The sequence below is a fragment of the Homo sapiens genome, chromosome 2 (assembly GCF_000001405.40).
Source record: "Homo sapiens chromosome 2, GRCh38.p14 Primary Assembly".
Lineage (NCBI taxonomy): Eukaryota > Metazoa > Chordata > Mammalia > Primates > Hominidae > Homo > Homo sapiens.
The window spans coordinates 102644452-102670074 of record NC_000002.12 but is presented as its reverse complement, the minus strand read 5'-3'; the positions used below and the strand labels follow the sequence as shown (position 1 = coordinate 102670074).

At 41.2% G+C, this 25623-nt stretch overlaps 1 protein-coding gene across 2 annotated transcripts in view, besides 2 other annotated features; it reads right to left on the bottom strand.

Moving 5' to 3' along the window:
* SLC9A2 (solute carrier family 9 member A2) overlaps positions 1-25623 on the bottom strand; it is a 91803-nt gene that overhangs the window by 41281 nt on the left and 24899 nt on the right. The window contains exons 2-3 of one of the 2 annotated variants that reach the window (NM_003048.6): positions 12048-12511; positions 4725-4975 (exon numbers count right to left, since the gene is read on the bottom strand). In NM_003048.6, coding sequence (NP_003039.2) covers positions 4725-4975; positions 12048-12511 — 715 coding nt within the window. The remainder of the gene's footprint in view (positions 1-4724; positions 4976-12047; positions 12512-25623) is intronic. The other variant, XM_047445572.1, reaches the window with a different exon arrangement.
* Positions 2682-2841: a silencer, noted in NCBI's record as "silent region_11833". NCBI's record gives its function as "represses an Ori minimal core promoter by ATAC-STARR-seq in GM12878 lymphoblastoid cells {active_cell/tissue: GM12878}" and the evidence as "EXISTENCE:reporter gene assay evidence [ECO:0000049][PMID:35858748]".
* Positions 4647-5846: an enhancer, noted in NCBI's record as "P300/CBP strongly-dependent group 1 enhancer chr2:103280688-103281887 (GRCh37/hg19 assembly coordinates)". NCBI's record gives its function as "activates an origin of replication core promoter dependent on BRD2, BRD4, P300/CBP, MED14 and CDK7 cofactors, with strong dependence on P300/CBP, by STARR-seq in HCT116 cells {active_cell/tissue: HCT116}" and the evidence as "EXISTENCE:reporter gene assay evidence [ECO:0000049][PMID:35650434]".

Below are 25623 nucleotides of genomic sequence, written 5' to 3'. Positions count from 1 at the left end.
GGGCAACAGAGCAAGACTCTGTCTCAAAAAAAATAAAAAATAAAAATAAAAAAATAAAAAAAATATTGGGCACTTACTCTCCTATGTGAAGGAGGAGTTAGCCATTTTCAAAATTTGCTGCTGTGGAGGCCAAGTACGCCCTTCCCCCTTCAGGTCAATGTGTGTTTCCAATGTCCCACTTATTAGAGCCCAGGGGACTGTGTAGGGTAGAAGGGGAGGATCAGAAAGGAGCCTGAAGTCCAAAAGTGGATAACAAACTTTGGCTTAAGTTGATTTCTGTAATGGCCCTGAATTTTAGTGATCAATTTATCCAACTGTTAGTGTCCTTGGGTAAAGAAAGTAAAATGAGGTTAAACACACCGTTGTCCATAGGAATCATCAGTGCTTTGACTCTGAGCATTTTCCTGAATATAAAGTTCAAAACACATGAGTCAAGGCAAGAATTTCTAAAATCAATAACTATTAGTCACCTCTCATGCCCTGCTATAGTACTTTGATACTCAAAGGTGTCCAATGCTATTGATATGTGAAGTTTCTGGTTTAAGGGGCTATGGAAACTTTCCCTTTACTACAGTTCTGGTGCTGTGGAAACTGAAACACACATATGTATGCACACACAGGCATATGCACACACACACACATTTCCCTATTGCCACAATTTATTCCAGTATAGAAATGAGTAGAAGAATATCAGAAAACAGGGAATTGCATTTACCTTATTAGTGTTTGAGTCTAAAACCCTTCTGAATATACAATAAAACATAAGTGTAAATCATTCCTTAACATTAAATTAGGTTTTGGAATATTAGGAAGGGCCACAAAGGGGAAACCAAATTTAAGAATACTCAGAAGACATCTCTCCAAATATTTTGTAAGACAGAAGATTTCACCTCATTATTTAATTTACTTGTCAGTAAAAAGCCTATAAAACCTCAGTCTTATGATAAAATTAAATAGCAGCAACAGTAGACTTTATGAACACCCGAGGTGCACTGCTTCCATCATCTTTCCAAAGAAATCAAGATATTGAAATCCTGTCCAGCACTTTCCTCTAAAAGCGTCCTTGCATTTTTAACCCAAACCAAAATCTTCTGTTACTCAGAAGATTGTTTCTTTTTCATTAGATTCATCTAGTAACTACCTGCTCATTAAGTAAGTGACATCCGTCTAGAACAGGCTGCCCAAGAGGCAACAAAGCTAATGCAGAGGGTTACAGGCTCTGAAAGGCAACACGAAGAAGACAGAAGGAAGGATGAATGGTAGAAGGTGGAGGAGGGAGAGATGGAGGAGAGCAGGCAAAACTCAGGAAAGCCAAGTTTCACAACTGGGTTACAAATCATTACAGAAGCAGTTTAACCTCTCTCCCCGCCTAGCAGGTGCCTGTCCTCTCTGCCTAGTTGCCTTTCTCAGGAGCTGCCCATTTCTCTTAAGAAAACAAGGGAAAGTCCTGAGCATTCTCAGTACGTCAGATGCCTTCACTCTCATTAACCTTAAAATTGGTTTATAAATGGTAAAAGAGAGAGCGTAATTAGTACAAAGTATGATAGGAATTTCTAAACTCAGTACAATTTAAGCCCAGGAAAAATGACTAGTTCTGTAAGGCGTGTGTGTAGATATGCATTTTTAATTGCATCATTATGCTGTATCCCCTGGACTGAAGTAAATACAATAATTACAATGTGGAAGTGCACATAATGCACTTTAGAGAGGGGCGGGGCATGCACATCTGTGATCTACACCATAAGGAAGCAACACACAGTCAAGTTTTGAATGGCATACTGATTACCCCGCATTAGAAAAGAGGGTATAACTTCTGAGAACAAACATACCCCAATGTGAATGTGTACCTGCATTTTTCATGACAGAATAATGGGTGCACATGGTAATTTTGGGGCAAAAATGTTTACATCACTGGTAATATCTTATTTAAGGACCCATTTATTATTTTGGTATACTATAAGCCATGACAATTTTAGTTTTTTTTTTATTTTTTAGTTTTTTGAGACCGAGTCTCAATCTGTTGTCTGGGCTGGAGGGCAGTGGTGTGATCTTGGCTCACTGCAACCTCCACTTCCCAGTTCAAGTGATTCTCCTGCTTCAGCCTCCTGAGTAGCTGGGATTACAGACATGCACCACCATGCCGGACTAATTTTTGTATTTTTTTTTTAGTAGAGACGGGGTTTCACCATGCTGGCCAGGCTGGTCTTGAACTCCTGACCTCGATTGATCCACCCGTCTCATCCTCTCAAAGTGCTGGGATTACAGGCATGAGCCGCTGTGCCTGGCCAATGACAATATTAGTTTAAATGTAATAAAGAAATTTCCTCTACACTAAGTTGTCAAGAAAATCTTCACTTTGAAGTTGGAAACAAAGGCCCACGAACCACAGCAGAGAATTACCTGTGCTATTTATCAGGAATATGTGGCCCTATTTGTCTCTTACTTCTGAATTCCTGGCATAAGTAAACCTGTGATCCCATCTTCACAAGAGGCCAGTGACTTGATACAGCATAGGCCTTCCAACCCTTCCATCACCGACATGGGGGATGCACCAGGATTCCCATCCCATCCAATTCTTCAACTTTCCCCCAATAGCTGGATCTTTAAGAACCCCAATTCCTGCCTGTGAACATCTGGCAAACTGACAAATTTGCATAGCTCCTTTGTGGGTTCTAGAACATTTACATATACTCAGACTTGCAATGCAATTCAAGGTTCTCATACCCTGACTCTTGCTAAAACAACACTGCTGGAAACTAGATACTAAGTCCCGCCCCCACACTCTTTTTAGAGACCTAGTAACTAGCTGGTCATACATTTTCAATGACACTGGCCAAAGAAGAGTGAGGAAACTGGAAGTCATACAAATGATATGAATAGCAACCAGAAAGACATGGAACATTTCATTACTGGGTCAAACTAGATTAATGCGTTGCTTTATTTAGGTTTCTCTGTGAAACAGAAAACCACCCAACCTGTAACTCAGGGCTGTCATGACCCCAGCTTCCACTCTCTTTGTGTAGGGGGTCTTCGACTTCCTCCACCACAAACCTCATCTGCTTCTGATACAGACGTGCTGATATATGGCAAAAGTCAAACTAGCCCCCAATCAAATGATCATCTTAATCAGATCGGAAGAGAAAATTTCAGGAAGATCTAGGCTTATGCTTATAGCTGCAAAATTCTAAATATGTATGGCAGGTCCTAGCATTTAGCCTAGTGCATATGGAGCTGTAAATACATATTTGTCAAAGTAAAAAAAAAATGTAAAAGCATTCCATTACTAAGTATTTCTCACTGACCGTATACAGGGTCTTACCATAATAGAATAGAAGCTTGTTTTTGGAAGCTACAAAAACATCCACACCCAATGAGCAGCCTCCGCCTCCTTCAAAGTGATCCTCCAAATGCTACAACAGGATTCAAACTCCATCATTCATCAGCCTACTTGTCTAACTTCTCAAAAACTTCCTTCAGAACCAGTTAGTGCATGAGACACTAACCATATCTTTAGTAAATTCCTGGCTTTATACATTTCCTGCTTTATAATCCTGCATCTTTGTTTAAAAAGCTAAACCGGCTGGGCGCGGTGGCTCACACCTGTAATCCCAGCATTTTGGGAGGCCAAGGGGGGTGGATCGCGTGGTCAGGAGATTGAGACCATACTGGCTCACACGGTGAAACCCCGTCTCTACTAAAAATACAAAAAAAATTAGCCCGGTGTGGTGGCGGGCGCCTGCAGTCCCAGCTACTCAGGAGGCTGAGGCAGGAGAATGGTGTGAACCCGGGAGGCGGAGCTTGCAGTGAGCCGAGATCACGCCGCTGCACTCAAGCCTAGGCGAGAGAGCGAGACTCCGCCTCAAAAAAAAAAAAAAAAAAAGCTAAACTGGAATTGCATGGTCACAACTCTCATTCGCTGATTTTGCTTTGAATGACTAAGCTGTTATCCCAAATCAAATCTACCATTCAAAATATTTCTATGACTAAGGTTATGCCAATGAATATCCATAAGCCATTCCAGAACTCCAAGAGCAGCTTGGGATGCAACTTTGTTGGAATAAGCTTATAGGTTCCCACGTGGGCAACCCTGATTGGGCATCAAGCTCGTACAATTCTTGGTGCCTGAGCAAGATCCACCCCAACAGTTTACTGTCATATTTCATGAGACCCAGAAGAATGTTTAAGCAGCTTTCTATCTGAGCAACAGATCATGGTAGCATAAGTTTTGCTGATACATATTTCCATTTCTTTGTAACAAAACATAAGAAAAATCTTTTTTTTTTTTTTTTTTTTTTTTTTTTAAGACAGAGTCTTGCTGTGTGGCCCAGGCTGGAGTGCAGTGGCACAATCTCGGCTCACCGCAAGCTCCGCCTCCCGGGTTCATGCCATCCTCCTGCCTCAGCCTCCCGAGTAGCTGGGACTACAGGGGCCCATCACCACGCCTGGCTAATTTTTTGTATTTTTAGTAGAGACGGGGTTTCACCATGTTAGCCAGGATGGTCTCGATCTCCTGACCTTGTGATCCACGCGTCTCGGCCTCCCAAAGTGCTGGGATTACAGGCGTGAGCCACTGTGCCCGTCCGAAAAATCTATTTTTAATTTTTCTTAAAAGAATAAGAAAACCTAGTGTTTCATATAACTTATTCAACTTTAATATCTTGGCTGAGAATGCATGCATTCAATGAAATGCCATCATCGAGCACTTTTAACAAAGAAGTACTTACGCCATGATGCCTGAGAGGTGAAACATTTCAGCTGTGATGTAGGACAAATAACTGTACAGGAAAACAAACAGTGGCTCGATCACTCGGATATTATGGGTGAATCGAGTAGTAAATGCCGCTATAAAGCCCAAGAAGATGCCAATCAGCACCCCACCGATTCCCACAACAAAGAAGTTGGCGATTCCTGCAAACACATCAATGGTCTCAATGGTTTTCATCTGGCAAAACGACTTGAACAAGTTGTACAGGACCTGCAGGAAAAAAAAAAACACCTTGTCAAGACCCTTTCCCATTTCCCCATTGTCACTCTGGGCACAAACACATCTACCTGGACTTCTAATAAGGACATTTCTTCTGTGTACCCAAGTAGGAAAATGACAATCATTGTGTATTCATTTGTCTCATATTTTAATACTGTAGCTTTAAACTAACCAAAAAACCTTTCAATAAAAGTGAGTTGTCAGGGAATTTATTTCTAAAAGTAAGGGAGAGGCAATTTCAAAGTTATTGCATAACTTATTCCAAAAACATTATTTTTTCCAGATATCATCTGAAAGATTATTTTAAAATATTTGTTTGCTATCCAGCACACCCAGCTCATGTTACCATTGCTTGGTAAGTAATATGACAGTGAGAAAGCTTATCAGTGCTGCTGTGAACACATTTACCTTATAAGGTCCTATTGTGGAGCCACATGACAGAAGGGACCTACGCATCAGGACAGGTACCCAAGATGAGTCAGTCATCCTCCCAGTCACCAGTTCCTCACTCCACACTCCACCTCCTCTCCCCGCCCACACATACATGTCTGGTGTAACTGAGACACACCCAAAGGAATTTTCTTCAAGCAAAGAGGCAGCAAACTCATATGTATGTGTGTGTGTGTGTGTGTGTGTGTGTGTGTGCATCTGCTGAAACTTCATACATATTTTGTAAATGAAACACTAGGTTTTCTTATTCTTCAAGAACAATTAAAAATAGATTTATCTTACATTTTGTTACAAAGAAATGGGAAGGTACATCAGCAAAACTTCATGCTGTAATGAGACTGCTCTGTTGTTCTTTTTTTTTTTTTTTGAGTCTCACTCTCACTCAGGCTGGAGTACAGTGGCGTGATCTTGATCTCAGCTCACTGCAATCTCTGCCTCCCGGGTTCAAGCCATTCTCCTGCCTCAGCCTCCCAAGTAGCTGAGATTACAGGCAGGCGCCACCACACCCGGCTAATTGCTGTACTTTTAGTAGAGATGGGGTCTCATGATGTTGGCCAGGCTGGTCTTGAACTCCTGACCTCAAGAGATCCACCCACCTCGGCCTCCCAAAATGCTAGGATTACAGGCATGAGCCACCACGCCCAGCCTGTTGTTTAGTTCTTTACATAGTCTTGGTTTAAGGAAGGCTTCAAGAATGTCGGGCACTTCATGTCTGGTGGACAATATGCTTTCAACTTGTGTCTGGGGCCACTCAGCGAACTGAAATGGAAAGTCATGGCTGCAGCCCCACCACTTTCTTTTCACAAGAGAAGCAAGTCAAATACCAGCCAAGCAGGTGGACTGCTTCTTTTTTCACTGTGATATTTACAACTCTGGGAGCACCTGGAATCTCCAGGAAAACCGACTGATAAGGACGTTAGGGAGAAAGGCTGTGCTACACCCTCATTTGGGTTCTGAGAAACTCAAAACTGATCCCATTTGTTCAAGGTCAAATGACACAAAATGTCAGAGGCAATATTAGCATCCAAGTCTCCTGACCTCCTGATTAAGTTGTTCAAGGTTCAATCATGGGAGAGTGAAGTCATACTGCCTGGTAAGCAGTGTGCGGCCTGGCAAATGCCATCTCACTTTTTACTTCACTTTGTGGTCATAGCCTACCACAATATGGGTTTAATATGTTATTCTTTACTCCTTTCTACTGGATTGTAAGCTCCTTGTGATCAATTAGCACCTTATTACAATTTACATCTTCCAAGTTGCCTAGTAGATGGCAATAAATATCTGTTGGCTTTGAAAAATAGTGGATTATTCCCTAGGAAACAGTGAACATTTCCTTTTCCCTAATTGTTGGTGTAACACTCAAGATCATTTGCCATCCTACCACCAAGAAATGACTTCAGAGAAGAACAAAAGAGACTCATTCTCCTGAAAACTTAAATATTTTAAAGGCATCATTGTTTGCCAGACAGAGAAGAAAATGGCTTCATGTAGTACCCACTTCCACTTTGAACCTGCTGTCAGCATCGGTTTTCATCGGCATCAACACGCCACAGTTACTTCCTGAGACAGGATCACAGATGTGCTATATATACCCCTTGCCTCCAAACAGCCAAAGGCAAAAGGGGCAGTCACCAGTGTTCCAGAGGAGAGGCGGGTTTCCCAGCCATCTGCTTCTGCATGGACAGCCTCTCTCCAGGGCCACTCAGGCACCACAGTTCTGTCTCCAGCCTCCAGCCTGCACCTAGGAGGCTCATCTCTTCTTTGCTCTAATCCCACTGCAGCCACTACGAGACCTACTTCCTTCAAAGGCTGCCACTCCATTTTCACATCAGGAAGTCCTCATAGTCTCAAAACACCTGGGACGCTTTTTTTTTTTAAACTGCTTTCTAACACACTTCAGACTGCAAAGGATTTCATCACTGTTCCATAAAACACACCGTGTTTATTCACTCCTGCTCCTGCTTTCCTTTCCTTGTCCTTTCTCTTGCCAGCAACCTGCACCTAAATCTAGGGAACCTTTACCTATCTTCTAAGGCACAGCTGAAGCTGCTGTTGCCCCCAGGAGCCCTCCTGGACCCCTCCAGCCTTTGCAAATACCCAGCTCTCTGACCTCCTGCACCACAGATGATCTCCCAGAAAATTCAGCATCTTGTACTGTTGGTGCTGAGTTTTGAGTGAGTGCCCCATGTCCCCAACAAAACTAGAAATTCCTTTAGCACAGAGCTGAGTCTCCTTCTTCTTTTCCTCCCTCTCATCTCTACACCCTAGTCCATCCAGTGCACTGAAGAGTTCTCTGAGGGAAGCCCAGGTACTCCTTCCACAGATTAACGGGCATCTGCAGCTGGGTCGCACATTCCTAATCCTTACAAAACTATTTTCCTGGCAACTTAATGCATCAAATCTATCAAAGGTACAGCCAGTCTTAAATCCCCCCTTAGACTCTGCAAAGAGTTAAGATGGGTCACAGGCACTGTACTCTCAGCACATTGAGCCAAAGCTCCATTTTGATCCTTCTCCTGCCTGAGATGCCACGGCAGTGTCAGAGCTAATATCTCAGGTAGGAGCGTTACCTTAACAACCAGAAAGCTTTCCACAACCTCCCACCTGTTTTACAATGAACCTGATACCTAGTTAGTGATCAGCACGAGATAAAATTCTTCTGGTTACAACTGGCCGAAACCACATACTTAGTTCATTCCAGTTAAATCCTTTAATTGTATTATGAGGGAATCTATGCCGAGAAGTGTTTTAGAATTTTAATTTACATAGGTATATGTGTTATGTGTATATATTATGTATGTGGGCTACAAATGACTCTAGTGAGTCGGTGCAAAGTTGGTCTCCCCTTGACACTTTATCCTTAGATTAAAATGTCAGTGATACCTATGTACTAAATTCTGTCATGGGCTAATTTGACAGCTTTGAAATCTTTCAAATAATCAAAGCTATACTGCTTAATGATATTTTTAAATTGCAAACATATATATATTAACATTAGGAGTTAGGAACTTTGAACTTTGATTTTAAAAGCACACTAATTCTGTGAAATCATATAAAGCAAGGGTGCAAATTATACAAATACAGTCGTCTATCAGAATGGCTCTGTCTCAGAAAAAAAAATGTTCAGGTAATTTCTTCCTGTATGAAACATACAGGATAATCATTTTGCATATGAAATTTTAGAACTATTCTGCTGTTTGCAAAATCAAAATTAAGATCCAAGTGGTCACTGCTTACCCTCCATCTTCCTAAAGTTACTTTCCACTCCACAGCACACAGTGACTGGGCCTCTGGGGTCCATTACTGGCTTCTCTCTACAGAGCCAGCTCTCCTTAACCAAGCCCGGTTATGAGCAGATGGAGGAAACTCTTTAAGTCTTCTCGGAAAATTTATTAGAATATTCAGTGGCTGCATTAACATGTTCTAGAAATCATCTGAAAAATCTTTGCCTAATAGGGAAATTTTGGAAAGTTTTCATGCAACATTTATTCTAACGGAAAACACCACAATCCTATTTAAAAATCACACGTTTATTTTTTTCAATTGTCATGTCTCTAGTTACTTCTAATCTACTACAGCCCTGTACAATAGCATGAAGTGTTTGATCTGCATTTCTTTTGCTTTGAGACATTTTCATGCTAAGTTTTCTTCGCTTCAGCTTTTCTAGCTCAATGTTGAATTTATCATAATTTGGGAAAGGAGTTAATGGCACTAACCTACCATGTTACCCATCCTCGAGATTATATACTGTGACAATGAATTTTCTCCGATTAACCTCTATTCTTCTATCTGCAACTCCTAGTGACTCATCGTTTTTGCCGTATGCATCATGGTCCGTATTTTTAATACCTTTCCAAAGTCCGTGAGTTCCTTAAACTAACCCCTATTCTTCTATTTGCAACTCCTAGTGACTCACAGTTTTTGCTGTATGCATCATGGCCCATATTTTTAATACCTTTCCAAAGTCCATGAGTTCCTTTAACCTCTCCTACAGATAAGCCTGAATGAATGAATCAAAGAATCTTCCACAAAACATCTCCACCTCTATTCTTTGAAGGTACCTGACTAGGAGATAAAATTAGAATTTTTGACACCATTGTTCTAATTATTCTTAACACACGCTCAATTCAGTACAGTACTCAGACAATTCAGCGAGAGAAACGTCTAGTAGTTTATTCTTTGGCAAACCTGTGGGCATGCCCTGATATCTTGTGGGTCTGGCTTTGAGAGTCCATGGACTCTCAGCCAGGGCAAGTAAGTTACCAAGGGAGGCTCTTAGATATGAAACCACGACAGTGGTTCTGACTGACAGGCTCTGGCCATTCCTTGATAAGAGCTTCCACCTCAAAGCACCAGCCAGGGCCTTGCTCTGTCTGTGCCCTTCTTCTGAGTAGAGTGACAAGCTCTCACTTTGGCCGCCTGCCTTCCCTGGGTCAGCCCTCCCTTTCTTTCCATAAAACCACAGTTGTGCCTCTGTGCCTCCTGAGAGGAAGCACAGGGTGTGTGTCTGGATGGCCTGCTACCTTTGCATACTCTAAACAGTGACTTAGCCAGACCCTATCCTGAGATCTGATTTGGGACAAACTCAAAGAATGGACCACGGAGATGTCTGAATAAAAATTTGATCAGAGGTGGGAAAGCAGTGTGGAGGCCTGGTGTGTCATTCTGAAATGAATTTGACTCTACTGAGCTGCCCTAGAAGGACTGCAACAGGAGCTTTTATTTCTTTGTAAAGTTCCCTTTGCACTAAATAGACTTACTCCAGGAATTCCCATTCAAAGGTCCTCAGTCTCCCTCGACAGGGTAAAATTTACGTATCGAGCATAAGTCAGAATGGAAAACTTCATGCCTTCTGCCTCTGGAAATTAGAATGAGTTATAAAATGTCTCTACTATTATGGCAGTTTCCCAGTTAAAATTTAATATTGCTAAGTTAATGACTACTCAGTTCATGAATAATGGAATATATGAAGCGGATTTTGTTACTTAAGTGAGGTAACTTAGCTGTCTTAAAATATCTATACTACAAATTGTGATCAATAAATTATCTTCTATACAATAATGTTCACATGAAGTTAATGGATGTCCTTAGAGATGACATTTTATTCATTCTGAGGATTTGCTTTTGCAGTAGAATACAAGCTAACAGAGAATAAATCGGTTTCTATGTAGACTTTTATTTTATTATTATTATTATTATTGAGATGGAGTCTCACTCTGTTGCTCAGGCTGGAATGCAGTGGTATGATCTTGGCTCATTGCAACCTCCGCCTCACTGGCCCAAGCGATCCTCTCACTTCAGCCTCCCAAGTAGCTGGGATAACAGGCGCTCACCACCATGCCCAGCTAATTTTTTTTTTTTTTTTTGTATTTTTAGTAGAGACAGGGTTTCACCATGTCGGTCAGGCTTGTCTCGAGCTCCTGACCTTCAAGTGATCCACCTGCCTCAGCCTCCCAAAGGCATGAGCCTCCCAGAATTATAGGCATGAGCCTCTGCACCCGGCCTACTATGTAGACTTTTAAATGAGTCAGGAATGGCATTTTAATGATAAGAGCAAATGGAGAGGGAATTAAAAATTAAGTCCTTTAAACACAGTCTTTTTCTGCCTCGCTTTTCTTATCTGAATAATGGGAGGAATGCCTGTTTCATAATTTGTTATAGAGACCTGAGCACAAAGTGAGCATTCACAAGTTAGTGGCTATCATTACTGTCACCTTTACTACTACCGAGCTGTGGCTAACAGAAAACAGCATCATCAGTGCTCCCTAACTGATTTATCAATTGAGCATCACTTGAGTGTCTTTAACTGGTGGACACAGAGCTCTTTGGAGGTATGTGGGTAAAAGGAGAGGCTTTCTCATCCCTTCTCTCAATCCTTGCCTGTGTTCAGAAGGCAGGGTAGAAGTAAATTCTGCTAACCTTAAGATCATAACAGCCCCTGACTCTAATTATATGTAATCTAAGAGAGGATTACAAATAATTTGTGCCTTCTGAATAAACACTCATTTATGAGAAGGTGATGAGGGCCAGAAATGTGCTGGTTGAGTAGTAACAGAAAGTGAGCAGTGAGCGTGTGACAAAAACTTTCCGTAAAATCATTAACATGATAACTAAAGCATCCCCAGATAGAGAATGGCACTTAGCAGGTATTATCATTTCACCTGTGTTATATACATTGGATACTGACAGTATTACTTCTCACAAAGAACTCTGGGATCTGAAGGCTTTTAAGTTATGATCGAAGACCATCATTTTTGAAAATGCCAAAATGATAAATCATCAGAGTTGCAAAGGCCAAAATCATATGTTCCTCTGGCATGAACAGGGCCTTGTCAGCACAGACCAGCTACATATTTTGTGGGGCCCCGTGCAAAATGAAAATGAGGAGACAGTTTTATGATAATAAATAAATTATAAATAATAAGTTTAAAAGTATTAAGAATTATAAGACAGTGATGTCAGAGCATTAAACCAAGTGAAGGGCCCTGGGCAATTGCTCATGAAACCACCCTGTGTGCAGGGTCTCGCCCCTGCCAGTTGAGGTGCAGAGAGCCACTGCAGGTGGCTGGGCAGCCCCCACCTGTTGGAGTCATGCAGTGTGAATGTGACTCACCACTGTTACTGCATCATTCAGCAGGGACTCTCCAAAGACCAGGATGTAGAGCTGCTCATTGACGTGAATGTTCTCAAAGACAGCAAGCACAGCCACAGGATCGACAGCTGAGATTAAGCTGCCAAAGAGCAGGTTCTGGAGCAAAGTGATGTCGCTGAGGCCGAATGCTTCGATCTGGCAGATACCAAACAAAGACACCCCAATGCCAATGGAATTCCAAAGTGTCCCTACCACAGCATACCAGAAAATCGTGCCAATGTTCTCAAAGAATGGGCGAGTGGGCATGAAATAGCCGGCATCCAGCACGATGGGTGGGAGGAGGTACAAGAAAAATACATCAGTCTTCATTGCAGGGGGAGACTTCTCATCAACACCAAAAATAATCCCACCTAGTAGAAGTCCAACCATTATAAGAAGGCAGCTCTCAGGCACTATTGTGGGCAACTTGTGATACAGATGGAAGCCTGGTAAGGAAAAAATAAAAACACACAACTTGGGTTATGGAGGAATTTGGGAGACAGGAAATTGGTTCCCTTTGATAGAACCAGTGGGTCCTGTTTCACCATCTCCCAAGTCAGTATCACTGTCTTTACAATGGCTTCCCAGATTACAGTGCAAACCAGAGGTTTCCCTTAAAACTATTCATGAAGCACATGTAGACAAAAAATTAATGTTACATTAAAATTGGAGTGCTATAGGTACACATTATCTACATTGTACAGATTTTATTTTTTCTAAATCCCCGTTGAGATTTTCTTCAGGGCTGGAACTGTGGAAATGGAATAACACAATTTTATTATTATTATTATTATTTTTTTTTTTGAGATGGAGTCTTGCTCTGTCACCTGGGCTGGAGTACAGTGGCATAATCTCGGCTCACTGCAACCTCTGCCTCCCGGGTTCAAGCAATTCTCCCTGCCTCAGCCTCCCGAATAGCTGGGATTATAGGCACGCACCACCATGCCTGGCTAATTTTTGCATTCTTAATAGAGACGGGGTTTTGCCATGTTGGCCAGGCTGGTCTCGAACTTCTGACCTCAGGTGATCCGCCCACCTCGGCCTCTCAAAGTTCTGGGATTACACACATGAGTAACTGCACCCGGTGCAATTTTATATTTGAAACAATTCAGTGATTTCTAAAACACTTTCAGATGTAACATCTCATTTCATCCTCATAAAAACCCTAATGAGTAGGCAAGGCAGTTATTTTCATGCTTTGTAAAAATTTAAGCGGGAATTGAAGCTGAAAGAGATCCAGGGTCTTATTACCAAGGTGGTTGGGTCACAGCCCATTTTTAGATTACTACTCTCATCTGTGGCATTCAGAAACATTGGCAATTTATTTATTTTTAACGTCTGATTCTTGCATTTGGAACACTGAATAGGTTTAATATTTGAGACGTTTGCTCCTTCAGAGACAACCCAATCAATTCGTCAGGATGCCTCAAGAAACTACTCTATGAGGGATATAAACATGCCATGATCTCTAATCTCACATAGTTCCCAATCAAGTTCCCAAAATGTATTTACGACTTACTCTAATACAAGGCAAAGTGTGGTCAAGCCCCAGCCAAGTGCTATGGAAACAGAGGAAGAGGAAGTCTGCTTAGGAAGACCCAGAGTAGGGCAATATGTGGGCAGGGCTTAAAAGATAGGCATTAAACAGAGCCATAAAGGGGCTTCTCTAGTAAATGGAAAAATGGTGGGAAATATCCATCTCTTAATTCATGGTAGAGCCCATGTGGCTTTAAAACAGAGAACATGTTAGGAGGAGGCCTGTAGGGAAAGAGGAGAGAGATGTGGGTTGGGCCAGCACATGGAGGCAACGTGGAAAGTGACTTAACACACGAAGGTCACTGGACAGAGCTTAAGTTTGGAGCGCACTTATTTGCAAGACAACAGCAATCATCCTTCAGGCATTCAATACGTTTTAGAACTAAAGCAGAATATGAGAATGCTACGCTTTGGCTGTCCCCCCTCTAAAACTTAGGTGTTGCCAACGTGATAGCTGTAAGAGGTGGATGGAGCCTTTAAGGGGTGATTAGGCCATGAGGGCTCCTTCCTCATTGGTGGGATGAAGGCCCTCACAACAGAGGCTTCTCACAGCCTTGCTGGCTGGTTTGCTCTTCTGCTCTCACATGCCCTCTGCCTTCTGCCATGTGAGGCTGAAACAAGAAGGCACTCACCAGACACCAAATGCCAGTGCCCTGAGCTTAGACTGCCCAGCCTCTGGAACTGTGAAAACATAAATGTTATTTATAAATTATCCAGTTGTGGTCTTCTGTTATATAGCAACAGGAACAGAGTAGGACAGAAATTTATCTGAATTATAGAAAGATAATACAGTCATGTACCACATTCAATGTTTCAGTGAACAATTGACCACATATATGATGGTGGTTCCATAAAATTATCATGGAGCTGAAAAATTCCTGTTGCCTAGTGACACCTTTATGATCCTGACCCTGTGTAGACTTAGGCCGATGTGTATGTTTATGTCTTGTTTTTAAACAAAAAAGTTTAAATATCAACAAACTATTTTTTAATTTACAAAGCTTACAGAATAAGGGTATAGGCCAGGCGTGGTGACTCACACCTGTAATCCCAGCATTTTGGGAGGCCGAGGCAGGTGGATCATCTGAGGTCAGAAGTTTGAGACCAGCTTGGCCAACATGGTGAAATCCCATCTCTAGTAAAAATAAAAAAATTAGCTGGGTGTGGTGGCGGGTGCCTGTAATCCCAGCTACTTGGGAGACTGAGGCAGGAGAATCACTTGAATCCAGGAGATGGAAGTTGAACTCAAAAAAAAAAAAAAAAGAATAAGGGTATAAAGAAAGAAAACATTTTTGTGTTGCTGTACTGTACAATGTGTTTGTGTTTCAAGCTAAGTGTTATTACAAAAAAACCATTTTTAAATAAATTTAGCATAGACTAATGTACAGTGTTTATGAAGTCTACAGTAGTGTACACTAATGTCTAGGACTTCACATTCACTCACCACTCACTCACTGACTCACCCAGAGCAATCTCCAGTCCTGCAAACTCCATTATAGTAAGTGCCTTATACAGGTATACCACTTTTAATCCTTTATACTACATTTTTATGATGCCTTTTCTATGTCTAGATATGTTTAAATACATAAATAATCGTTGTTGTGTTACAAATACCTACAGTATTCAGTACAGTAACATGCTGCACAGGTTTGTAGACTAGGAGCGATAGGCTGGTAGACAACACCATATAGCCTAGGTGTGTGGTAAGCTGTACCACCTAGGTTTGTGTAAGCACGCCCTATGATGTCACACAATGACAAAATCGCCTAATGATGCGTTTTGCAGAACGTATCCCCTTTGTTAAGTGATAAATGACTATTAAAGTGATAGAATAAGTCCTTAGATACTTACAGTCACAGAAGTTTTAGTAAGTAAATCCTTAAGAGCTTACAAACAGGACTAAACCCATAGCACTAAACATTTTGTGAGCCAAAGCAATATAACTGTAAAAATTTGAAAAGGTTTAAAGAACTGTTAAATAATAAAGTGATCATCTGTATGTTGAGCATTCAAATCTAGCTTTATTTTAATATTTATACTACAAAAGGCTCCAATAATTTGTGGGGACTAAATGTATTCAATGGGTGCAGCTGCTCTTTACCTATGACCTCTGGCAAGCCCACTGACCTCACTGATAAATGAGGAAATAAAAAAAGTTCCCTGAAAACCATGTCTCTGTTCCCCCAAGCTGACTCTTGCTTCTATGTGCACCTGCTAGTGTGTGATAAGAGTCAGCCAGAGTGAGACTCCGTCTCAAAAAAAAAAAAAAAAAAAAAAAGAGTCAGCCAACAGCAGCATCGCCAGTCCCCTAATATCCAAATGCAATCACTTCCTTTCCTTAACGCGGTAGCAATCTGGGGGTTTCTGCCATGGGCCTGCAGCATGCCATCGGAGGACTGCCCCCTTACTTGAAACCCAGCCCTCCCGCTCTCTGCCTGTGATTGTGGAAAGGTTCCTAACATGCCCAGGCCCCACCTACTCATCTGTGAAACAGACACAAATGCACCTGCTGGGTAAAGAACTGTACCTATAACCAGGCAGTCAACTGCACAGTACTTACCACTGTGCCTCTAACATCACAAATGCCTCCACATTTTAGTTGCCTTCCCCTCCTATATGTAAGAAGGCAAGAGAAAACAGTTTTAAAGAAATGCACAGAAGCCATAGGATCCATGGAGACAAACAGGAAAATGGATGAGGACTGGTTTTGGAGACTCCCATTTCCTCTTTCACCTTTTTCTTTCCTTTCACTGACCCAGCAGCCTCAGAGACCCATGCTTTCACATGGGGTGCTGCTCTTCTTGTTGTATCAAAAGGACATTCTCATTCCTAAGGTTGGAGAATGGAAACCAGGGAAAAGAGAGAAAGGAAGGAACAGAAACTGCTGAAATGCATTACAGAGGCCAATGCACCTGCCATGCTCAGGCAATGAGACTGATCCTGACCAGAAACTCGGGCAAGCAGAAACAACCAAGAAGCAGCAAATAAAACATGGCAAAATAAATGCAGGATGCAGTTAGAATGAAGACCGACCAGAACATCATGCCAAAGGAGGCATGGAGGAAGTGAGGCAGAGGAAAATCCAGGGGTAACAAAATCAGAGAGGAACAGCAACAAACCCAGGGATGCTTGTTGAAAAAAATAAGATGGTTTCATGTTTTCAAATCTGTACTCCTTTCTTTTATGAGTACTCAGGTCATTCAGAATTGGCCTGAATGACCCTTTCTTAAAGTAGGACAGCAGTTACTGAGTTTGCCAAATTGTTTCATTGGCAAGAAGAAATTAAATGAAGGGCTGTCACACAAGATCTTAGTTCAGTGCTTTTTGGTGAACATAAGCAGAGAAACTGTGTTGTGTAACATGCCCTCTGATGGCATAAAAGATTTTCTGGGCAGGTGTCTGTGCTTTTATGAACTACCAAAGTAAAACTCATCAGCTAAGTAATTAGTGACAACAAACAAAAGAAGGCTTCTTAAATTTCATTGTTCACAGAATAAAATAAATAAAACATTACAAATGTGCATGCATTTATGGCTTTTCCTCCCCCAAGTATTTCTTGAAGAAGAAATGAACTTGAATAGAGAAAATTTGCTTTCTTGGAATCATCATCCTACCTGATATTATCAAGAAATATATCAGTTATTGGGAAAAAATGTATCAGTCATTGACAAATATATCAGTTATTGGGGGAAAAAAAGCAAAGGAATTTTTGGATGGCTTTTACAAGGCTGTCCACGAGCTACTGCAAGTATGACCTACTGTGTAGTCCAGTGGTTGGCCAAGACTTTTCTGTTAAGGACCAGATAGTAATATTTTCAGCTTGTTGGCACAGAAGATAAGACAAGGGCACAAATCATTATAACGCAAGATGGAAAGTGATAAATGCTATTAAAAAGGAGATGAGAAGTGGGGGTGTGAGGGTTCATTCAGAAGCAGAGACTCAAGAAGACTTCATGGAGGAGGTGGCATTAAGATTGCTGGATGTGGATTTTCCTATTCCAAGGAGAAGGAAGCCAAGCACAGGTTTGAGGAAAGGCTGGGCGCCATGGGAAAGAGGTGCATGACTGGCCTGGTTACGAGGTGCTTGGGCTGCAGGGGAGCAGAGGGGAGGGCTAAGCCAACAGGAAGAAGCTGTATCTCTGAAGAGCTGCCTCTGTTCTCTGAGCATGTGGGAGCTAGTGAAGAAACCTCAGAACCACACTGTCTTCTGCCCATGGAGTGACAGGGAGAAGTCCCTCCCAAGAAACAAAAGAACCAGAGATTGGATTTGGGTAAAAGCAGATCAAGGCTGCCCAATAAGTTAAACCAAACAGATGTGATTAACCACTAGTGAAAATAAGTATGTTTTCTTTAGTCAACACTTTCTTTTAAAATGTTGACTAAAACATTTAGGAACAGCCCAACTTTCAAATGGATCCATGTTTGATCCCATAGAGTCTGGAAAAAGCCAGCCAGAACAAGAAGAGACGAATGACAGAATGTGACTCTTTAGCAATAAAAAAGAACTCCTACATATAACAACAACAACAACAACAACAAAAACCCTTATCTTTTGCAGATAGCACATAATATTAGAAAATTCAAGCAAACCTTTATACATCAAGAATATTGAGGCATTATATATGATCGAGAAAAAGGGGAAGCCATAAAAATTATCAACCTCATTCAATCATTTTTGTCATTCATTATGCATTTATTGAGACCTCAGGTGCTGGGGTGTAGCAATGTGTTAAACAAAACCTCTGCACTGGAGAGCTGCAGGCTAGTGTGGGAAATAGAAAATAAGTCAGTCAGCCAATAAAGACACAGTAGCACGCAGTGATGAGCACTGCAGACAAAAGCAGAGAGCAGTGAGAGAATCCTTTTGATTGATGGGAGAATCCTCTTGATGGATATTTTGTATCAATGTGCTCAGGGAAGCCTCATTGGTGAGTGACACCTGAACAAAGCCCTGAATGAAGTGAAGCCCTGAATAGTGAAAGAACTTTCCAGAGCAGGGAAGAAAAGAATAAGGGGACAAGCCCTGAGTTGGGAGCACCTTGAGCAAAGAGGCTACTCTGGCTGGAGCTGGGAGAATGAAGCAGAACAAGGTAAGAAATGAGGACAGAGGGACAGAAAAATGCTAGAGCCTGCAGAGCCTGTGGCCCTGGGACAGAAGTTGGTTATTTCCTGAGAGGCTTTTGAGCAGAGGAATGTCATGACCAGGTCCCCACCGTTGAAAACACTGCTGCCTTTGAAAAACAGAAGCAGGCAGGCCAGTGAGGAGTCTTTTTCAGCAATCCAGGAGAGGGCTGAGAGTGGCTTCCAACCATTAAAGTGGTGGTGAGTAGGGCAGGAGGGGGATGGGGGGCATATTGTAACAGGTGCTCCAACAGAATGTGCTGCTGACCTGGATAAAGGATGTGAGACAGATGATCAGGGATGAATCCATAGTTTGAGGTTCAAACAAATGTGTAGAATGGGATTATTTACTGAGATGGAAAGCAATAGGAAGGCAGAAAATTTTAGGAGAGAAACTCAAGATGGTAAACGCCAATCAGAAATCCTTAAAACATACCATGGAGCTTAACAAATTGATAGCATGATTTAGCTAGAAGAAGTGGCAGACGATTTCTAGGGAGCACTAGAGAAGAGCCATCACTTCTCAGAGTATGATGCCACACTCCCCCACACCACTGCTAAACACATCGCCATATGTTCTTATTAACCCCATAATGTATCTCAGGGATGAAATAGTAAATTCACACAATGATGTACGGAGGTACATGAATGTCATATAAAGTAAGAAGCTGTACAACAATAAGGAAAGAAAGCATAATTTAACCAGTGTTATCAGAAAAGGCAGATAGAAATAGCAAACACATACCTACAGGTTTCTTTTTAACTTCCACAACTGTGGAAAATTCCATGAAGGTCAAAGAGTTTAACATTAAACAAAAATAATCTAAAAAACAGAAAATAATTCTTTTTTAATTATTTTTTATTTTACTTTAATTTCCGGGATACATGTGCAGAAGGTGCAGGTTTGTTACATAGGTATACATGTACCATTGTGGTTTGCTGCACCCATCAACCCATCATCTAGGTTTTAAGCCCCACTTCCATTAGGTATTTGTCCTAATGCTCTCCCTCCTCTTGCCCCCCACCCCACCAACAGGCCCCAGTGTATAATGTTCAAGGCCCTCTCTGTGTCTATATGTTCTCATTGTTCAACTCCCACTTATGAACAAAAACATGCAGTGTTTGGTTTTCTGTTCCTGTGTTAGTTTGCTGAGAATGATGGTTTCCGGCTTCATCCATGTCCCTGCAAAGGACATGAACTCATTCTTTTTTATGGCTGCATAGTATTCCATGGTGTATATGTGCCACATTTTCTTTATCCAGTCTCGTTGATGGGCATTTTGGTTGGTTGGAAGTCTTTGCTATTGTGAATAGCGCTGCATGCAAGAAACACACGTGTGCATGTGTCTTTATAGTACAATGATTTGTAATCCTTTGGGTGTATACCCAGTAATGGGATTGCTGGGTCAAATGGTAATTCTGGTTCTAGATCCTTGAGGAATCACCACACTGTCTTCCATAATGGTTGAACTAATTTACACTCCCACTGACAGTGTAAAAGCTTTCCTATTTCTCCACATCCTTTCCAGCATCTATTGTTTCCTAACTTTTTAATGATCACCATTCTAACTGGTGTGAGATGGTATCTCGGGGTTTTGATTTGCATTTCTCTAATGACTAGTGATGATGAGCTTTTTTTCATGTTTGTTGGCCACATAAATGTCTTCTTTTGAGAAGCATCTGTTGATATCCTTTGCCCACTTTTTGATGGGGTTGTTTGTTTTTTTCTTGTAAATTTGTTTAAGTTCCTTATAGATTCTGGATAATAGACCTTTGTCAGATGGAGAGACTGCAAAAATTTTCTCCCATTCTGTAGGTTGCCTCTTCACTCTGATGATAATTTTTGCTGTGCAGAAGCTCTTTGGTTTAATTAGATTCCATTTGTCAATTTTGGCTTTTGTTACAATTGCTTTTGGTGTTTTAGTCATTAAGGTTCTGCCCATGCCTATGTCCTGAATGGTATTGCCTCGGTTTTCTTCTAGAGTTTTTATGGTTTTAGGTTTTACACTTAAGCCTTTAATCCATCTTGAGTTAATTTTTATATAAGGTGTAAGAAAGGGGTCCAGTTTCAGTTTTCTACATATGGCTAGCCAGTTTTCCCAGCACCGTTTATTAAATAGGGAATCATTTCCCCATTACTTGTTTTTGTCAGGGTTGTCGAAGATCAGATGGTTGTAGATGTGTGGTGTTATTTCTGAGGCCTCTGTTCTGTTCCATTGGTTTATATACCTATTTTGGTATCAGTACCATGCTGTTTTGGTCACTGTAGCCTTGTAGTATAGTTTGAAGTCAGGTAGCATAATGCCTCCAGCTTTGTTCTTTTTGCTTAGGATTGTCTTGTCTTTTTTTGTTTCCATATGAAATTTAAAGTAGTCTTTTTCAGTTCTCTGAAGAAAGTCAATGGTAGCTTGATGGGGATAGCATTGAATCTATAAATTACTTTGGGCAGTATAGACATTTTCATGATATTGATTCTTCCTATCCATGAGCATGGAATGTTTTTCCATTTATTTGTGTCCTCTCTTATTTCCTTGAGCAGTGGTCTGTAGTTATCTTGAAGAGGTCCTTCGTGTCCTTTGTAAGTTGTATTCCTAGATATTTTATTTTCTTTGTAGCAATTGTGAATGGGAGTTCACTCATGATTTGGCTCTCTGTCTATTATTGGTGTATAGGAATATTTGTGATTTTTGGACATTGATTTTGTATCCTGAGACTTTGCTGAAGTTGCTTATTAGGAGTTTTTGGGTTGAGGGGATGGGGATTTCAAAATATACAATCATGTCATCTGCAAACAGAGACAATTTGAGTTCCTCTTTTCCTATTTGAATACCCTTTATTTCTTTCTCTTGCCTGATTGCCCTGGCCAGAACTTCCAATTCTATGTTGAATGGGAGTGGCGAGAGAGGGCATCCTTGTCTTGTGCCGGTTTTCAAAGGGAATGCTTCTAGATTTTGACCCTTTCAGTATGATATTGGCTATGGGTTTGTCATAAATAGCTCTTATTATTTTGAAATATGTTCCATCAATACCTCGTTTATTGAGGGTTTTTGGCATGAAGGGGTGTTGAATTTTATTGAAGGCCTTTTCTGCATCTATTTAGATAATCATGTGGTTTTTGTCATTGGTTCTGTTTATATGATGGATTATGTTTATTGACTTGTGTATGTTGAACCAGCCTTGCATCCCAGGGATGAAGCCAACTTGATTGTGGTGGATAAGCTTTTTGGTGTGCTGCTGGATTCAGTTTGCAAGTATTTTATTGAGGATTTTTGCATCAGTGTTCATCAGGGATATTGACCTGAAATTTTCTTTTTTTGTTGTGTCTCTGCCAGGTTTTGGTATCAGAGTGATGCTGGCCTCATAAAATGAGTTATGGAAGAGTCCTTCTTTTTCTATTGTTTGGAATAATTTCAGAAGGAATGGTACCAGCTCCTCTTTGTACCTCTGATAGAGTTTGGCTGTGAATCCGACTGGTCCTGGGCTTTTTTTTGTTGGTAGGCTATTAATTACTGCCTCAATTTCAGAACTTGTTTTTGGTCTGCTTAGGGGTTTGACTTCTTCCAGGTTTAGTCTTGGGAGGGTGTATGTGAACAGGAATTTATCCATTTCTTCTAGATTTTCTAGTTTATTTGCATAGAGGTGTTTATAGTGTTCTCTGATGGTATTTTGTATTTCTGTGGGATCAGTGGTGATATTCCCTTTATTTTTTTTATTGTGTCTATTTGATTCTTCTCTCTTTTCTTCTTTGTTAGTCTGGCTAGTGGCCTATTTTGTTAATCTTTTCAAAAAACCAGTTTCTGGATTCACTGACTTTTTTGAAGGGTTTTTGGTGTCCCTATCTCCTTCAGTTCTGCTCTGATATTAGTTATTTCTTGTCTTCTGCTAGCTTTTGAATTTGTTTGCTCTTGCTTCTCCAGTTATTTTAATTGTGATGTTAGGGTACCAATTTTAAATATTTCTCACTTTCTGATGTGGGCATTTAGTGCTACAAATTTCCCTCTTAATGCTGCTTTACTGTGTCCCAGAGATTCTGGTACCTTGTGTCTTTATTCTCATTGGTTTCAAAGAACTTATTTATTTCTGCCTTAATTTATTTACCCAGTAGTCATCCGGGAGCAAGTTGTTCAGTTTTTTACACAGCAGTCATTTGGGAGCAAGTTGTTCAGTTTCCATGTAGTTCTGTGGTTTTGAGTGAGTTTCTTAATCCTGAGTTATAATTTGATTGCAGTGTGGTCTGAGAAATGGATTGCTATGATTTCCATTCTTTTGCATTTGCTGAGGAGTGTTTTACTTCCAATTTGGTGGTCAATTTTAGAATAAGTGCTATGTGGTACTGAGAAGAATGTACAATTCTGTTGATTTGGGGTGGAGAGTTCCATATCTATTAGGTCTGCTTTGCCCAGAGCTGAGTTCAAGTCCTGACTATCCTTGTTAATTTTCTGTCTTGTTGATCTGTCTAATATACAGTATTAAAGTTTCCCACTATTATTGTATGGGAGTCTAAGTCTCTTTGTAGGTCTCTAAGAACTTGCTTTATGAATCTGGGTGCTCCTGTATTGGAGATATATATATATATATATATATTTAGGATCGTTAGCTCTTCTTGCTGCATTGATCCTTTTACCATTATGTAATGCTCTTCTTTGTCTTTTTTGATCTTTGTTGGTTTAAAGTCTGTTTTATCAGAGACTAGGATTGCAACCCCTGCTTTTTTTGTTTGTTTGTTTTCCATTTGCTTTGTAAATATTCCTCCATCCCTTTATTTTGAGCCTGTGTGTGTCTTTGCACATCAGATGGGTCTCCTGAATACAGCACACTGATGGGTCTTGGCTCTTTATCCAATTTTCCAGTCTGTGTCTTTTAATTGGGGCATTTAGCCCATTTATATTTAAGTCTAATGTTGTTATGTGTGAATTTGATCCTGTCATCATGATGCTAGTTGTTTATTTTGCACATTAGTTGATGCAGTTTCTTTACAGTATCATTGGTCTTTTTATTTTGGTATGTTTTTGCAGTGGCCTGTACTGGTTTTTCCTTTCCATATTTAGTGCTTCCTTCAGGAGCTCTTGTAAGGCAGGGCTGGTGGTGACAAAATATCTCAGCATTTGCTTGTCTATAAAGGATTTTATTTCTCCTTCGCTTATGAAGCTTAGTTTGGCTGGATATGAAATTCTGGGTTGGAAAATTCTTTTCTTTAAGAATGTTAAATCTCGGTCCCCACTCTTCTGGCTTGTAGAGTTTTTGCAGGGAGATCTACTGTTAGTCTGATGGGCTTCCCTTTGTAGGTAACCTGATCTTTCTCTCTGGCTGCCCTTAATATTTTTTCTTTCATTTCAACCTTGGTGAATCTGATGATTATGTGTCTTGTGGTTGCTCTTCTTGAGGAGTATCTTAGTTGTGTTCTCTGTGTTTCCTGAATTTGAATGCTGGCCTGTCTTGCTAGGTTGGGGAAGTTCTCCTGAATAATACCATGAAGGGTGTTTTCCACCTTGATTACATTCTCCCTGTCACTTTCAGGCACACCAATCAATCATAGGTTTGGTCTTTTCACATAGTCCCATATTTCTTGGAAGCTTTGTTCACTCCTTTTCATTCTTTTTTCTCTAATCTTGTCTTTAGGCTTTATTTCATTAAGTTGATCTCCAATCTCTGATATCCTTTCTTCCGCTTGATTAATTCGGCTATTGACACTTGTGTATGCTTCATGAAGTTCTCATGCTGTGATTTTCAGCTCCATCAGGTCATTTATGTTCTTCTTTAAACTGGTTATTCTAGTTGGCAGCTCCTATAACCTTTTATCAAGGCTCTTAGCTTCCTTGCATTGGGTTAGAACATGCTCCTTTAGCTCAGAGGAGTTTGTTATTACCTACCTTCTGAAGCCTACTTCTGTCAATTTGTCAAACTCATCCTCCATCCAGTTTTGTGCCCTTGCTGGAGAGGAGTTGTTATCATTTGGAGGAGAAGAGGCATTCTGGTTTTTGGAATATTCAGCCCTTCTGCACTGGTTTTTTTTCGTCTTTGTGGATTTATCTACCTTTGATCTTTGATGCTGATAGCCTTTGGATGGGGTTTTTCTGTGGGCATCCTTTTTGTTGATGTTGACGTTATTGTTTTCTGTTTGTTAGTTTTCCTTCTAACAGTCAGGTCCCTCTGCTGCAGGTCTGTTGGAGTTTGCTGGAGGTCCACTCCAGACCCTGTTTGCCTGGGCATTACCAGCGGAGGCTGCAGAACAGCAAAGATTGGTGCCTGCTCCTTCCTCTGGAAGCTTTGTCCCAGAGGGGCAGCCACCTGATGTCAGCCAGAGCTCCCCTGTATGAGGTGTCTGTCGACCCCTGCTGGGAGGTGTCTCCCAGTCAGGAGCCACGGGGGTCAGGGACTCACTTGAGGAGGCAGTCTGTCCCTTTGCAGAGCTGAGCACTGTGCTGGGAGATCTGCTGCTCTCTTCAGCGCTGGCAGGCAGGAAGGTTTAAGTCTGCTGAAGCTATGCCTGCAGCTGCCCCTTCTCGCGGGTGCTCTGTCCCAGGGAGTTGGGAGTTTTATCTATAAGCCCTTGACAGGGGCTGCTGCCTTTCTTTCAGAGATGCCTTGCCTAGTGAGGAGGAATCTAGAAAGGCAGCCTGTCCTCAGGCACTTTGCCACACTGCCATGAGTTCTGCACAGTCAGAGTTAACACTGTAAGGGGAAAACCACCTGCTCAACCCTCAGTAATGGCAGGTACCCCTCCCTGCACCAAGCTCGAGTATCCCAGGTCAACTTTAGACTCCTGTGCTGGCAGCAAGAATTTCAAGCCAGTGGATCTTAGCTTGCTGGTCTCCATAGGAGTGGGATCTGCTGAGCTAGACCACTTGGCTTCCTAGCTTCAGCCCCCTTTCCAGGGGAGTGAACAGTTCTCTCTTGCTGG